General features: G+C 46.3%; 1 protein-coding gene and 1 pseudogene across 12 annotated transcripts in view, besides 10 other annotated features; one reads left to right on the plus strand and one right to left on the minus strand.

The window, feature by feature from the left end:
- ANXA2 (annexin A2) overlaps positions 1 to 10,201 on the minus strand; it is a 50,836-nt gene extending 40,635 nt beyond the window's left edge. For 2 of the 12 annotated variants that reach the window (XM_017022092.2, NM_001002857.2), the window contains exons 1-2: positions 10,158 to 10,201; positions 9,473 to 9,553 (exon numbers count right to left, since the gene is read on the minus strand). Coding sequence is in view for 1 of the 12 variants with exons in the window: in NM_001002858.3 (NP_001002858.1) it covers positions 10,086 to 10,128 (43 nt within the window). In the remaining 11 variants the exon portion in view is untranslated. Of the gene's footprint in view, positions 1 to 2,427; positions 5,656 to 6,591; positions 8,643 to 9,472; positions 9,554 to 10,085 lie in introns of all 12 variants that reach the window. The other 10 variants (XM_047432406.1, XM_047432404.1, XM_047432402.1 and 7 more) reach the window with 10 other exon arrangements.
- RPL36AP44 (ribosomal protein L36a pseudogene 44) lies at positions 2,553 to 2,949 on the plus strand (annotated as a pseudogene).
- Positions 3,215 to 3,806: an enhancer, noted in NCBI's record as "OCT4-NANOG-H3K27ac hESC enhancer chr15:60683199-60683790 (GRCh37/hg19 assembly coordinates)". NCBI's record gives its function as "activates a minimal SCP1, AML or CMV promoter by ChIP-STARR-seq in naive H9 embryonic stem cells {active_cell/tissue: H9 hESC(naive)}" and the evidence as "EXISTENCE:reporter gene assay evidence [ECO:0000049][PMID:30033119]".
- Positions 4,954 to 6,153: an enhancer, noted in NCBI's record as "P300/CBP strongly-dependent group 1 enhancer chr15:60684938-60686137 (GRCh37/hg19 assembly coordinates)". NCBI's record gives its function as "activates an origin of replication core promoter dependent on BRD2, BRD4, P300/CBP, MED14 and CDK7 cofactors, with strong dependence on P300/CBP, by STARR-seq in HCT116 cells {active_cell/tissue: HCT116}" and the evidence as "EXISTENCE:reporter gene assay evidence [ECO:0000049][PMID:35650434]".
- Positions 8,547 to 9,138: an enhancer, noted in NCBI's record as "H3K27ac hESC enhancer chr15:60688531-60689122 (GRCh37/hg19 assembly coordinates)". NCBI's record gives its function as "activates a minimal SCP1, AML or CMV promoter by ChIP-STARR-seq in naive H9 embryonic stem cells {active_cell/tissue: H9 hESC(naive)}" and the evidence as "EXISTENCE:reporter gene assay evidence [ECO:0000049][PMID:30033119]".
- Positions 9,139 to 9,730: an enhancer, noted in NCBI's record as "H3K27ac hESC enhancer chr15:60689123-60689714 (GRCh37/hg19 assembly coordinates)". NCBI's record gives its function as "activates a minimal SCP1, AML or CMV promoter by ChIP-STARR-seq in naive H9 embryonic stem cells {active_cell/tissue: H9 hESC(naive)}" and the evidence as "EXISTENCE:reporter gene assay evidence [ECO:0000049][PMID:30033119]".
- Positions 9,224 to 9,273: an enhancer, noted in NCBI's record as "active region_9505". NCBI's record gives its function as "activates an Ori minimal core promoter by ATAC-STARR-seq in GM12878 lymphoblastoid cells {active_cell/tissue: GM12878}" and the evidence as "EXISTENCE:reporter gene assay evidence [ECO:0000049][PMID:35858748]".
- Positions 9,334 to 9,383: an enhancer, noted in NCBI's record as "active region_9506". NCBI's record gives its function as "activates an Ori minimal core promoter by ATAC-STARR-seq in GM12878 lymphoblastoid cells {active_cell/tissue: GM12878}" and the evidence as "EXISTENCE:reporter gene assay evidence [ECO:0000049][PMID:35858748]".
- Positions 9,404 to 9,593: an enhancer, noted in NCBI's record as "active region_9507". NCBI's record gives its function as "activates an Ori minimal core promoter by ATAC-STARR-seq in GM12878 lymphoblastoid cells {active_cell/tissue: GM12878}" and the evidence as "EXISTENCE:reporter gene assay evidence [ECO:0000049][PMID:35858748]".
- Positions 9,754 to 9,893: a silencer, noted in NCBI's record as "silent region_6494". NCBI's record gives its function as "represses an Ori minimal core promoter by ATAC-STARR-seq in GM12878 lymphoblastoid cells {active_cell/tissue: GM12878}" and the evidence as "EXISTENCE:reporter gene assay evidence [ECO:0000049][PMID:35858748]".
- Positions 9,964 to 10,503: a silencer, noted in NCBI's record as "silent region_6495". NCBI's record gives its function as "represses an Ori minimal core promoter by ATAC-STARR-seq in GM12878 lymphoblastoid cells {active_cell/tissue: GM12878}" and the evidence as "EXISTENCE:reporter gene assay evidence [ECO:0000049][PMID:35858748]".
- Positions 10,624 to 10,933: a silencer, noted in NCBI's record as "silent region_6496". NCBI's record gives its function as "represses an Ori minimal core promoter by ATAC-STARR-seq in GM12878 lymphoblastoid cells {active_cell/tissue: GM12878}" and the evidence as "EXISTENCE:reporter gene assay evidence [ECO:0000049][PMID:35858748]".

The raw sequence follows: 13,688 nt of genomic DNA on the forward strand, positions 1-13,688 counted from the left end.
CTGATACGGGATGTTGACAGTGGAAGCTATGCGTATGTGGGAACAGGGGAACATGGGCATTCTTTGTATTTTCTATTCAACTTTGCCATGAACCTAAAACTTTCCTAAAAATGAAGACAATCGGCCGGGTGCGGTGGCTCACACCTGTAATCCCAGCACTGTGGGAGGCCGAGGCAGGCAGATCACGAGGTCAGGAGATAGAGACCAGCCTGGCCAACATGGTGAAACCCCATCTCTACTAAAAATACAAAAATTAGCTGGGCGTGGGGGCGGGCGCCTGTAATCCCAACTACTCGGGAGGCTGAGACAGGAGAATAGCTTGAAACCAGAAGGCAGAGGTAGCAGTGAGCCAAGATCACACCACTGCACTCCAGCCTGGGCAACAAGAGCAAAACTCCGTCTCAAAAAAAAAAAAAGACAATTTAGAATAGTCTTGCTCTGTAGCAGAACCGTCCAATACAGTAGCCACCAGCCTCATGTGGCTACAAAGCATCTGAAATGTGGTCAGTTCAAACTGAGATGTGCTATAAGTGTAAAGGACATTCTGAATTTTGAAGACATAGTATGAAAAAATTATATAAAATTTCTCATTTATAATTTCTTTCTTGGTAAAGGCAGGGTCTTGCTATGTTGCCCAGGCTGGTCTCGAACTCCTAGCCTCAAGTGATCCAAGCACTGAGATTACGGGCATAAACCACTGTGTCCAGCCCAATAATTTATATATTGATCATATATTACAATTACAACTATGATATGTTGAATATATCTTATTTCCATTTAATTTCCTTTTTCCTTTTTCCATTTTTTTTCCTTTTTTTTTTAATGTTTCAGTAGAGACAAGGTCCCACTGTGTTGCCCAGGCTGGTCTTGAATTCCTGGGCTCAAGCAATCCCTCCGCCTTAGCCTACCAAAGCACTGAGATTACAGGGGTTAGCCACCACACCTAGACCTTTTTTTTTTTTTTTTTTGTCTGAGACAGGGTTTCTCTCTCTGTTACCCAGGCTGGAGTGCAGTGGTGCAATCATAGCTCACTGCAGCCTTGATCTCCAGGACTCAAGAGATCCTCCTGCCTCAGCCTCCCAAGTAGCTGGGACTACAGGCGTGTGCCACTACACCTGGCTTTTTTTTTTCCAGTAGAGATAATGTCGCGTTACCTTGCCCAGGCTGACAGTCTTCTTGACAGAGCAAGAAATCTCTAACTTCAACATGGACCAAGAAACATTCTAGAGGGTCTCATCAGTATCCCTCAGCCCGAGAATTACCGAAGCAGAGGTGAAACTCCTAGGATGGACATCAAACCACCCAAGCCCTGGCCTTAACTATCACCCCTGGACTCAGTCAGAACTGGACCAGGTCTGCAGCAGGGGATAAACTGTTGTCATCTGCTGTGCAGAATTCTAGTCTCTACCATAAACAGGCAAGAAATAAAAAATGCCAAACGTAAAACAAAAGCAAAACCAGGGAACTAGCAAGTCAGAGTTGCAAACAGAGTTGTTTCCACTTAGAGAGTATAGATTAAATTCCACTTGTTTATGAAATCAGACACCTCACATTGGTTCCGATGTTTAGAAAATCTCAACTAGAGGCACGGTAACTTTTCATTGTGTTGTTCTTTCAAGTTGTCTTTCCAGCTCTGAGCTTTGTAGACTGCTGCCTACCCGTGTCCCACATGGGACTCCCCAGTACTGTGCAGATCAAAGACAATCTGATAGGCTTCTTTACACTCTCCATTCATGTTAATTCTTCTCCCACAGCCACAACACCTTGAGGAGACTGTTAAAAGCCCCACAAATCTTCCTTTCGGTTTCACCATTCATAACTGTGCTGCTCTTTCATCAAATCAGTCCTGCATGCCACCACCAACTAAATCTCCCCATTTAATCTTGTCAAAATCATTTGACATCATTCAAAATCAGTCCTCCAGCAGAGCCCAGCCTTCAAAGATGAGCATCAGAATCCTGTAAACAGTAAACAGTTCCCTCTGTTTACTCCTCAGCTACAGTTGACTAGGGCCAAAATGTGACTTGCCTCTCCGCACTCACCACTACTTCAGTATCTGCTCCAACAGGGTCACCACGACCCCTACTCTACAGAACTCTATCTTGCCTTTCACTGCCAGGGCACTTTTTGATACCACTTCATTCATCCATTCGGCAGAATGTTTTAAGTGCCCTACACGTGCCAAGTATTCAAATGGTGAATGCATAGGTACAATTCAAAGCAGTAGAAAGTATATGGTTGACCTCATCTTCCCTACATAGTCCCAGTCCCCCTACAGATTTCAGATTATCTTTACATAATGCAGGTGCTAAATCAACTTGAAAACAATGAGTTGCTATTTTGCATAACATTTATACTATGTATAACCATTTTGCAGAAAAAAAAAACAAAACACAAACATCACAATAACCACAAAGTCACACTTACCACAAAGCAGTATCTATGAAATTTGACATTATCCCATGCAGGTGCCTTTTGTATCCATATAAATATTTCCTACTTCATGTGAGTTTAATGGCAAACATTTTCACCCTAGAAATAAAATATGGCCACTTTCCTCCCATGCCGATAGCATTCCGGAAAACATGGTGAACATTCCTAAAACCCACTGGGCTTTCTGTAAGAAGTGTGGCAAGCACCAACCCCACAAAACGGCACAATACCAGGACTCCCTGTATGCCCAGGGAAAGCGGCGTTATGACAAGAAGCAGAGTGACTATGGTGGGTAGACTAAGGCAATTTTCTGGAAAACGGGTAAAATTACAAAGGAGGTTGTGCTGAGGCTTGAGTGTGCTGACCCCATCTGCAGATCTAAGAAAATGCTGGCTGTTAAGACATGCAAACATTTTCAACTGGGAGGAGATAACAAAAGAAAGGGCCAAGTGATCCAGTTCTAAGCATCATCTTTTGTTTTATTATGAGGACAATAAAATCTTGAGGTTATGTCCAAAAAACAAAACAAAATAAAAAGAAATAAAATACAGTGCTTGCTTCTTCACTCCATCAAATCCCCTAGCAATGCAAAGTCATTTTGCATATGATCTATTATTCGCTGGAAGGAACAGTTGGCTTTGCGATTCACTGTTTGTTAAAACATTAGTTTAATATAGCATATTTGACTAATGAGAATGTGTCAGTGTGCTGCTATCCTTGAAAGCAGGAAAAGGAAGTCTTGGCAGTGCTACTGTAGGTTACAAACACTGGTAATACGCAAGGAATTAATCAACGAACCCATACCAAGCATACGCTGAGCCTGCACTATATTAAAGGATACAAAAGACACTTATAAAACTGTGAAATGCAGACTTCCACCCTGCAGGACCTTTGAGCTCTCTTCCCTTCGTGCCTCTGTGACACACTGAGAGTCTAGTCCAGGGTCACCCAGTGAATTAAGTAGCTGAGGCAGGGCCAAAACCCAGATCCCCAGACTCCTGGGCCAATGCCCTTTCAACCTCACCACAATGGTTCTTTATTCCAAGTGATTAAGACACAGAGAGAAAGATCACAGCCATCAGAGCGGGATTAGTTAAGGGCTTAACAGGGAGGTGCTGTCTGCCTAGGCTGAGAAGGGTGAATCACCATGGGAGGTTCCAGCCAAGAAGCAAGGGGGAAGGCCTGGGGAGAGGGGAAGAGGAATAATGCCCCAGGGTGGCAGAAGAACAAGACTACAGGCTGGAAAATGAGCCACGTCCAGTGGGGTGCCCTGTGGGGAACCTAAAATATAAGTCTCTGAATGGTGCAAAGTTAAGCTTGCCTATGGAAATACTGGGGAACCTATGAGCCAAAATGATTGGGACTCAGTACTCATATTTATCTATTCACCAAAACATTTGCTCTGGAGGCAGAATTTTCTTACTGAAAACAACTACTCTGACTTCAGTGTACTTACTGTTTTGAATGAAAATAAAAAATAAAGCCTACATGCTGTATGAGACAATTTCACCTCTACTCACTCCTCATCACCGTATAAAACTCATAAATCCATTAAAAACAGAACCACTACTCCTTTTCTGGCAGACTTCTCTAAAGAACATGAAAATGGCAGTTTGCACCACTCTTTCCAACACTTCAACCTCACCCAGCTTGCCGACTGGTTTCAACTCTCCAACAAGAAAAAAAAAAAAAAATCAGCAAATTCAATCTGTTGATGAGTACATCTACATACACATCAGTGCCGTGCCTTCCATTCCCAGGGAGGGCAGGGTCACTAGACAACATCATTAAAATGACCCTTTATCAGAGAACGTTTTTCTGTTTAAGGAAATAAACTAGAGGTACAGGGAGACTCACTGATAAGAGCCATACCCACCTCAAACTGGTTTAAAATCATTCACTACTTGGGTAGGAAAACAGGTCACTTGGCCCCACCCTAATGAAAAGAACAGTTTCTTCTGCCTTGAAAAGGCTGATAAATGAGACTGTGAATGCCTGGCTAAAAAAGCTCACAGTGCAAGGCTGATCATTAATGAAATCAGTGCAGTTATTGAGAAACAAGTCATTTACATTTAACATAAGGACTATATTATTTAGGTTGGTGCAAAAATAACTGCCATTACTTTTAATGGCAAAAACCACAATTAACTTTTGTACCAACCTAATAATTTAAGGGTTTGTCCTTATTAAAAAAAAAAAAACTCTATAGATTTTATTGTATTCTATTGCTTCACTACGAAAGTGCAGTTACAAACAAAAAAAGGACAAGTGAAGCAGTTTTAACTTTACTCCCAAAAAGAAGAGTAAAAGTTTACAAAAAGGTTAAAACAAACAAACAAAAGAAAACTTAAAAGTCAACACTTCAAATAGTAAAAACACATTCTACTGAACTAAATTAAGAACCAGTTCCAAAAAGCCCAAATGTTAATCTGAACAAACAAAAACATACTGCAACAGGGCTGGTCTGCACAGGCAAATCTGAGTCTAATCCAGAAGTTTTGTGGACACACCCACTTCACAGTTTAAACGTGGAGTGTTGATGCGTTACCGCAAAACAGATTCTTAGCAACCATGGTGAATCAATCAGGGACTGGTGATTCAAATGAAGATTTTAAAGCAAAAATGGGTAGAGGTGGGAGTGTGGAGAGTTGGGTTCTCCATCAAAGCTCTTACTGTACACAGTCCTGGACACACAGTCTACAGGCCACACTGGAATTTTAAACTAAAAAAAAAAAAAAAAAAAAATGTACTGGGTGAGGAGAGGGGTTCCCACTGTACTCCATCCTCCACCCACCTACTGCATCTTTATTTATCAGAACCTTTTTGAAAGCAGATATTCTTCTCCTTGGTTTTATGGTCTTGATTAATGACTGAGTCACAGGGCCAACTCATTCCCCAGAATTCCTGGAATTCGGCCCAGTGACCTCGATCAAACTGAGCAGGAGGGACACACAGCACTTGCTCCAGCTTGTCTCTTCTGTGGCCTGATCTGAATCAATATTTGTTTGCTCCCTACTGACTTGTTGCAGCTTCATGCTCTCACAGCCTCTCTCTGCTGGTATCCTGATCTGGGGTTGGAGTGGGTGGAAAGAGACCGGCAGGAAGAATGATGTCACTTGGCATGAAGCACTTTCAGGGTTGGGAAATCCAGGCCTTCAAGTCTGCAACTCAATTTCAGTGTTTTATGGCCCACATATTGTATTTTCAACAGGGCCTGGCCGCCTACAGAAAAAAGTCTAATGTCAGCATTCAAGACCTTCCACACTGTGGACTTACCTACCTTTCCTTAAATATCTTCTATACACACACACATGCATACACGCATCCTGCACAGAAGAGTTAACTGGACTGTTAACTCTTCTCCAAACACGCTCAGCACTTTCTAAGTTCCCTCCACCAGGAACCTCAATCTTAATTAGCTGACATCTGAATGAGTCTTTAGGATACAGGAAATCATAAATGCCGCCTTTCTCACACACCCCTCCTTGCCCTGTGCTTCTGCAGCTTTTTGTGTGTCTGTGCAACATTAGAGTTACATGTGTAAAGTCTGTCTTCCGTATTATCCGCCCACAGGGTTTCCAACTTAACTCCCTCCTGTTTCCTCATAGGTCTGAGCACAGTGCCTGGCACACGATAGGCATTCAATTTCATCTTGGGATGGTTTACACACACTGGGTCTTTCTATATTAGAAAGTCTTTTTTTCTTCTTTTCCAACACACTCTCCTTCCTCAATTTTCTCTCTCCCTCAGACTGGACATTTCGAATGCAGTTCCAGTTCCGTGCATTCAGAGTTGGAGGCTTAAATCACCAACTTCTGCAAATCTTAGCAAAGCCCAGCAGGTCGCTTCAGGGCAGCCTCTTATCAACATATAGCCATGCCCCCCACCTCTGTGCTGTCAGGGATACTTGGACCCTAGCTCTGTCCATAGGACCACATGGGAACGTAACCTACAACTCCTAGCAAGAAGGCAGCAAAGAGGCAGGATGTACGAGTGGCCTTAGGACTCTGATTTCCTCTGAGCTGTGAGTGTATAGCCTGGGTGTGGCAGGGAGACAAAGGACATGGACAAAGGGCTCCATAACACAGTCACTCCCTAGAATAAGAAATTTCTACACCACACCTGGGGTAAAACTCAGGCCACTTGGGTGCTACCGACCTGTCCAGTTGAGCTCAGCTGGATTAAAAGCTTCAGGGTGGGCCAGGCATAGTGGCTCACGCCTGTAATCCCAGCAGTTTGGGAAGCCGAGACAGGCGGATCACTTGAGCTCAACAGTTCCAGACCAGCCTGGCCAACATGATGAAACCCTGTCTCTACTAAAAATACAAAGATTAGCCCGGCATGGTGGTAGGCACCTGTAATCCCAGCTACTCGGGAGGGTGAGGCTGGAGAATCACTTGAACCTGGGAGGCGGAGGCTACAGTGAGGAGAGATCGTGCGACTACACTCCAGGCTGGGTGACAGAGCCAGGCTCCATCTCAAAAGAAAAAAAAAAGAAAAAAAAAAACAGCTTCAGGGTGTACCCTAGAAGGGAGATTTGGAAGTCATCTGGTAGAACCACCCAGAAGGACAAATATGGGCATCTCCTGACCCCTACTGCTGACCTGTCCCTGGAGAAAGTAGATGAGGACTGCCTCTGGCAACAGCAGAAGAAAAAAGATACCAGGCAGTGAATGGGTGGAAAGAATTTTTTTGAAGGACTGGAATTTCCTCTGGTGTGGCCTACAACTAGAATAGGGTGTGGCACCAGGGCAAGTGAAGAGGATTCTCATGTGAAAAAAAAGAGGAACATTCCATTTCTATTTAATTCTCACAATTGAATCTGGAAGGCAGCTTAAGACACCATAATTTTAAGCAAAACTTCCCCGAGGTAGGTAAAATGTGAAGTTTAGGTCTGTGGAACAGCTGGATTAAAGGGGAAATGAACTCCCACCAAGTTTAGAAACTAGTATTAATTTGGGAAAATATAAAGTTTAAAATCCAACAATTCACTTATTTTGTCTCTTTTCCTTCTCTCTCCGCCAGATTTAAGGTCTAAAGAGCAGGGATTTTATTTTTGGCGGGGGTCTGTTTTGTTCACTGCTGTATCCCTAGTGCTCATAACTATGAGTGGAACACAGTAGGTAATTAATATTTTGTGGAATAAATGGTTGTTTAAAGCAGCCCACTAGAGCCTGAGACTCCTTTTGTGACAATCCCGCTCTCCTTTAATGAAAAATGTCTCCGCAGGCTCCAGGCTCTGCACAAGCGAAGGGTGAGAACAAAGGCTCCAGACAATGCATTAGTGCCAGATTCTAGGCCCAGTGGTGTAGGAAGAGCCTACAGCCCTCAAAATCAATAGCAATTATAGAAGCACATCTACTTTGCCAGGAAAACTACTTAAATCAGAAATTAGCCAGGAAACTAACGGCCATGACTGCGAGCCTAATGTCAATCAATACCATAGTTTAATAGCTCAAAGACACAAGATGCTAAATATTGAGACTCCAGTGCAAGACTGAGCTCCTAATCAAAGTCAGTGAGTCAGCAATATTTCCTGGGCATTTACCACAGGCAGTCTAGTTGGCACTGCGGGAAATTACAAAATCTAAACGGTCTCCAAATCACAAACCTCCAATTGTAAAAATGCACATACATGTCACATCCTTCCACTGCAGATGCAAGGGACATTTTTGGACAAACCCTTGACCTTTAGATAATCGACAGACTTGGAAGAAGGGAAGAAATTACTAAGCAGGACTGTGTTAACACTCCTGGCCCTTGCCCATCAAGGGCACCTCTGCTGCCCCAGTCTTACCAAAAATCTTCCTTAATATTGCCTGAATATTGCTGCTTTACATTCTATAAATTATAGATCTGTTTAGGTGAACGAGGGTTTTTTATTATTATTATGTATTTATTTTTTGAGACTGGGTCTTGCTATGTTGCTCACATTGGCCTTGGACTCAAGAGATCCACTAGCTTGAGCAGCTGGGACTACAGGCCCACGACCACGCCCAGTATCGTTGTTTTTTAAATAACAAGACTCCTCTCGGTTGCTGAGGCTCTTAGGACCACCAACCATTCCTAACTTAATGAATATCGATTCAATCTGCTAGTCTCTAGCTGGATGCAGGTCCGCCGAAATGGGAAGGAGGAAGGAATGCAGCGTAACTGGACCGGCCTGGATGGCTGTTGTAATGCGTCACGGAAGAGCCAGAAGAGCGTCTCTAAGGAGGTGGAAGGTGGAAAAAAGAAAGTGGAACAGGGGCAAAGACATAATTTTCCAATTAAAATAATTTACTCAGTGTCAACCTTAAAGCTAAAAAAAGTTCCAGAAAAATATTTCAGTGATTTAGTCTTCCTACACACACATTGCCCCTCACTACCCTCCACCTCCCCACCACCAATCCCATAATCAGGCAGTGCATGTTAAAAAGGTCTTTCAGGGCTAGCCTGGGAACGTCAGCACCTTCTGCAACACTGTTTCAGTGGGAAAGTGCATTCTGCATTCCAAGTCACCAAGTTCCAGACAGGCACAGTAGCACACACGTGTGAACAGAATCCATCAGTACAGTCTGGGGCCCAGGCCTTTGCACACCAACAACTTAAGGTTCTTGGTAATGGCCCAGCGTGCACCCATGAGGCCACTGCTCTTTTACACACGCACTCAGAACACCCACAGCTTTAAAACGGCAATCTTACTACAAAAATGACACTTTGCATTTGCACAGCACTTTGTTTTTTGTGTACTTTACACATTTATTACCTAATGACTGTGTTTTTTGAAATCTCCAATAACTCTGGGTGGTGGTAAGAATAGGCATCCTTAAGCCACCTTCCCAGATGAGGAAACTTATCTGTGTTCCCCTCCTTCTTCTCAACAGCCGGCTGATGGAACCCAAGCCCTCCACACCAGCAGTGGGGCCAGCTGCACAGAGCGGCCAGAAGGGAGAGGCCCCGGGGCCACGCCCTTCTCTCTACTCTCAGTTCCTGACTCATTGTCACATCATGGCGAGTAACAGGACAACCCTCCCCACAGAATCATGGGGGACACTACCTTCCTGAGGCCAATGTGTTCAACCAAGCGGGAAACTCTCCGGGTAGAGTGAAATCCGAAGTTGCTATGCTACAAGATAACCTAGAGCAAGGGGAATAACTGACGTTTTAATGTCTTCTTTTATGGGGGGCTGAGGGGTGCCTACTCACACTCCCCCCTCTCGTCTTCCCCCGCTACTTCCCTCCTGCTGGTCGGTTCAACTCCACAAGCGCGCGTTTGTTTCGAGTACAGTAACTTAGAGCAGATGGGGGGCACTTTCTAGAGGGCAGTGGAAAGCCCACTTGCTACTGCTGCGCCGGGGACCTGCGGCTCCCTGGGCGGCCACGCCCTGCCTCGGCGGCGCCTGGCGCGTCTGGAATGCGGGGCCTCCCTCCGCCCCTCTCCCCACGCCGCCTCGCCCCGCTCCCGCTAGGGCTTCTTAGAGAAGCCCGACCCCCCACCACCTCTGCCCTGCACCCTCCCGGCCCGAGGGCCGGTGGCCCCTCACCCCTGCCCCAAACACCTTGTCCCTGAGCCCCCTCCCCAAAGACTCTCCAGTGCCGGCCGTCCCTTCAGCCCCCTGCCCCCGACGGCCTCCGGGGCCAGTTGCCGGGGCCTCCCTGCCAGGCCGTACCCTTCTTCCCAGCGTCTCCACACCCCGCTAGCTGGCGGCCCATCGCGGGCGGGCAGGGCGCGCCCCGCTTACCTGGGCCGTGCGCCGAGAGCTGAGAGCGTCCCCAAATGCTGAGCAGAGCCGGCTGGCCTGGGTGGGGCTTTTATACCCGCCACATCCTCCCTAGGCGAGGCGAGGCCCGCCCCGCCCCGCCCCGCCTCCCCCTTACACGGCCCGCTCCCACCCCAAGTCAGGGGTGACTCACCCCGGCCCGCCGGCCCGCAGGGACCGCGCCCTGGAACGCTCCCGAGCCGCGCCACGCGGGAGCGGCCCCAGCGCCCCTGGCCCTGCCCTCCGAGAAAGCCCGGCCGAGGCTGCCCCGAGGCCCACAGGGACCCCGTTTCTTCCTCCTTTCCTCATTTTACTTCTTAAGTGCCACGTCGAGCTCTCAGCCTCGGCTTGGGTTAATAAATTAACAAGACTTTAGTAGTAGACTCTGGGCTTGATTAAGTGTTTTTTTTTTTTTTTTTTTTTTTTTGGCGTTAATGCAATGGAGGAAAGAATTGTTCCAAGAAACATAAATCTGGACTCCCCTGAGCTGGGGCTGTTGGCATCCAGCGCCCCATTACCGTCTGCAAACATGTCAGCTTAACCTCTGGCCGCCAGTTCCCGGGGGGCGCCCGGGGAGGGAGGGAGATTCGCCCTGTGCTGCAAAGCCTGGCCCGCCCCGGCCTCCGAGGGCCAGGAAGCCCCGAGCCTGGGCTGGGAGGCCAAAGCCGGGAGCCAGGATCCCACCTCAGTCCCGCCCAGGGTGGCGCCCCTGTCCCTAGCACGGCTGTGCTCCGCTTCTCTCCGCGCCTGGGGCATCTCTGCGCGGCCTCGTAGCAGGCAGTCCTGAGCGGGGTGGGGCCCATAGCTTTGAACCCGGAGTTTCGTGTGTGTGTGTGTGTGTGTGTGTGTGTGTGTGTGTGTGTGTGTGTGTGTGTTTCGAACCCGGAGTTTCAACAAAGAACTTTCCTCTCCTTCTTTCATGACTGCTGGGGTGTGTGTGTGCGTGTGTGGTGTGTGTGTGTGTGTGTGTGTGTTTCTTGCAGCCGTTTAGCCAACTCCCTTGCTCGGTGTTGCTGTTACTCGCTTTTCTTCCGAGAGAGAGAGAGAGAGAGAGAGAGAGAGAGTTTCTTGCAGCACAGAGAGAGAGAGAGAGAGTGAGATAGAGAGTTTCTTGCAGCCAGTTAGCCAACTCCCTTGCTCGGTTTTGCTGTTTCTCACTTTTCTTCCGTGTGTGTGTGTGTGTGTGTGTGTTTCTTGCAGCCGTTTAGCCAACTCTCTTGCTCGGTTTTGCTGTTTCTCGCTTTTCTTCCGTGTGTGTGTGTGTGTGTGTGTGTGTGTGTGTGTTTCTTGCAGCCGTTTAGCCAACTCCCTTGCTCGGTTTTGCTGCTTCTCGCTTTTCTTCCAAGAGTCACGTTGGCAACGTGCAGGCAGACACCTATTTGTTGTATGTGAGACGACGCAAATACTGTATTCGAACCTCAAACTAACAGGAAAGCGACGCTGAGAATCCCGAGGATCTCTGGCTGCGTTTTTTAAACCCCTCCTTGCACACTACTTCCTGCAGCTCTTTTTCCTGGTTTTGATGATTCTGTGTTTCAATCTCCCATTTATCTTAACATCCATTTTTACTTTCCATTTGAGCGTCAATTCACTCCTGGGAATCAGAGAATGATAGCAAGGCCAACAGACATTCAGTGCTCTGCCCACTCGCATAGAGTGACACAGGCAAAGTCGGCCACAGCTGAGGTCTTTTAACCCGCCCAAAGCTTTCTGTTACCCAGCGCTTTCACGAGGAATTATACGCGATGGGCCCTACCACAGAGCCAAATAGAAAATCAAGCAACACTTTGGGTACAATTGCTGATTTACATTTATAGCTCTTCAATTTAGCCTGAAAGCTTCAAAGTCAGAAACAATGTTTATCTGCTTACTTTGTGTGAACATTTTGGAAGGTTAGGGGAACACAGGCAGACAGTAATATTGGGCACGATTCAGCCTCCCTTCTGTGTATCTCAAGATAGGTTCCACAGTCTCTTACTCCTAATCGTGCTGTGATAGGCCCTTTACAGAAGATAAAATTTAATTCAAATCATGTGGAATATATAAAAGCCATCAAATGTCCAAAAGAGTTTTGTGCTCATCTTGGGCATGCCACAAATTCTAACTTCTATAGATTTGTACAATCACCAGTCTTTGCATCATGCTAAAGAAATGTGCACTGATGTTATCATAAAAATGAAGCTATTAGAAGTCATAGTTTGCTATTTCTGAGGAATGTGAGGCCAGTTCTTCCAGTATAAAAGATCTTTTATTAGTCAGAAGACTCTATTTTCCCCCCTGGTTGAGGAGAATGTTTACATCAGCCCTCAGATTGTCTGCTGTTGTCCATATTGCTCTCTAAGTGCTTGACTTTGTTTTGTTCACACTTCATCTGCTGCACTCAACACCTACTAGCGCCTAGCTAGCAATGATAGGCACTCACTAAATGTGATAGAATGATAAAATACAATTATTCACTGAATAATAGAATGTTAAAGCAGGGAGGGACCCTAGAGATTAAATTGCCCTATCCTTGATTTTTACTATTATTATTCTTATATCTTTTAGTTGAGATCTCACACTGTCACCCAGGCTGGAACGCATGGCATGATTAGGGCTCACCGCAGCCTTGACTGCGGAGGCTCAAGAAATCCTCTCCTCTCAGCCTCTTGAGTAGCTGGGACCACAGGCCCACGCCACCAAGCCTGGCTAATTTTTCTATTATTTGTAGAGACGACAAAGTCTTGCTATGCTGCTCAGGCTGGTCCCGAACTTCTGGGCTCAAGTGATCTGCCTACCTTAGCCTCCCAAAGTTCTAGGATTACAGGCGTGAATTACTATACCCGGCTCTTGATTTTTACATATGAAGAAATTGGAGTCCAAATAAAATCTCCTGCCCAGTCCAGGGATTAAATAATGCACCCAAGGCCCTCGTATCAGTTACCTTTGCAGTATAACAAATTATCCCCATAAACTTAGTGGTTAAACATAACCATTTACTTGCTTGTAATTCTGCAATTTAAGCAGGACACCCAGTGGGGACAGCTTGGTGCTCCTCCACAGCATGTTGGGTTGGGTAGCTTAGTTGGGGTTGGAAGATTGAAAGCAGCTTCATTCGTCTGGCGCCTGAGCTGGGATTGCTAGAATGACAAAGAGCAGGCTGGGCCTTTCTCTTCCTTGGTCTTACATCCTCCAGGTTCTCCTCTTTTGCTACACCACGGTAGTCATGGCAGCCAGCCTTCTAGAAGCAAAAGCTGAAGCTGCCAGGCCTCTTGGCTCACAGGCTGTGCAAAAACAAGCAATAGGCTGGATTTGCCCTATGGGCTGTAGTTTGCTGATCCTTGTTTTAATCCATTGCCCTACTCAAGTTTTTGGTTTTGCCCTCTGATATCTAGGCTCCTCCCTTTAAGATGTATTTCCTTTTCTTAAGAATGGCCCAGGCCAGGCATGGTGGCTCACGCCTGTAATCCCAGCACTTTGGGAGGCTGAGGAGGGCAGGTCATGAGGTCAGGAGATCAAGACCAGCCTGACCAA

This window comes from Homo sapiens, chromosome 15 (assembly GCF_000001405.40).
Source record: "Homo sapiens chromosome 15, GRCh38.p14 Primary Assembly".
In the NCBI taxonomy this organism is placed as follows: domain Eukaryota; kingdom Metazoa; phylum Chordata; class Mammalia; order Primates; family Hominidae; genus Homo; species Homo sapiens.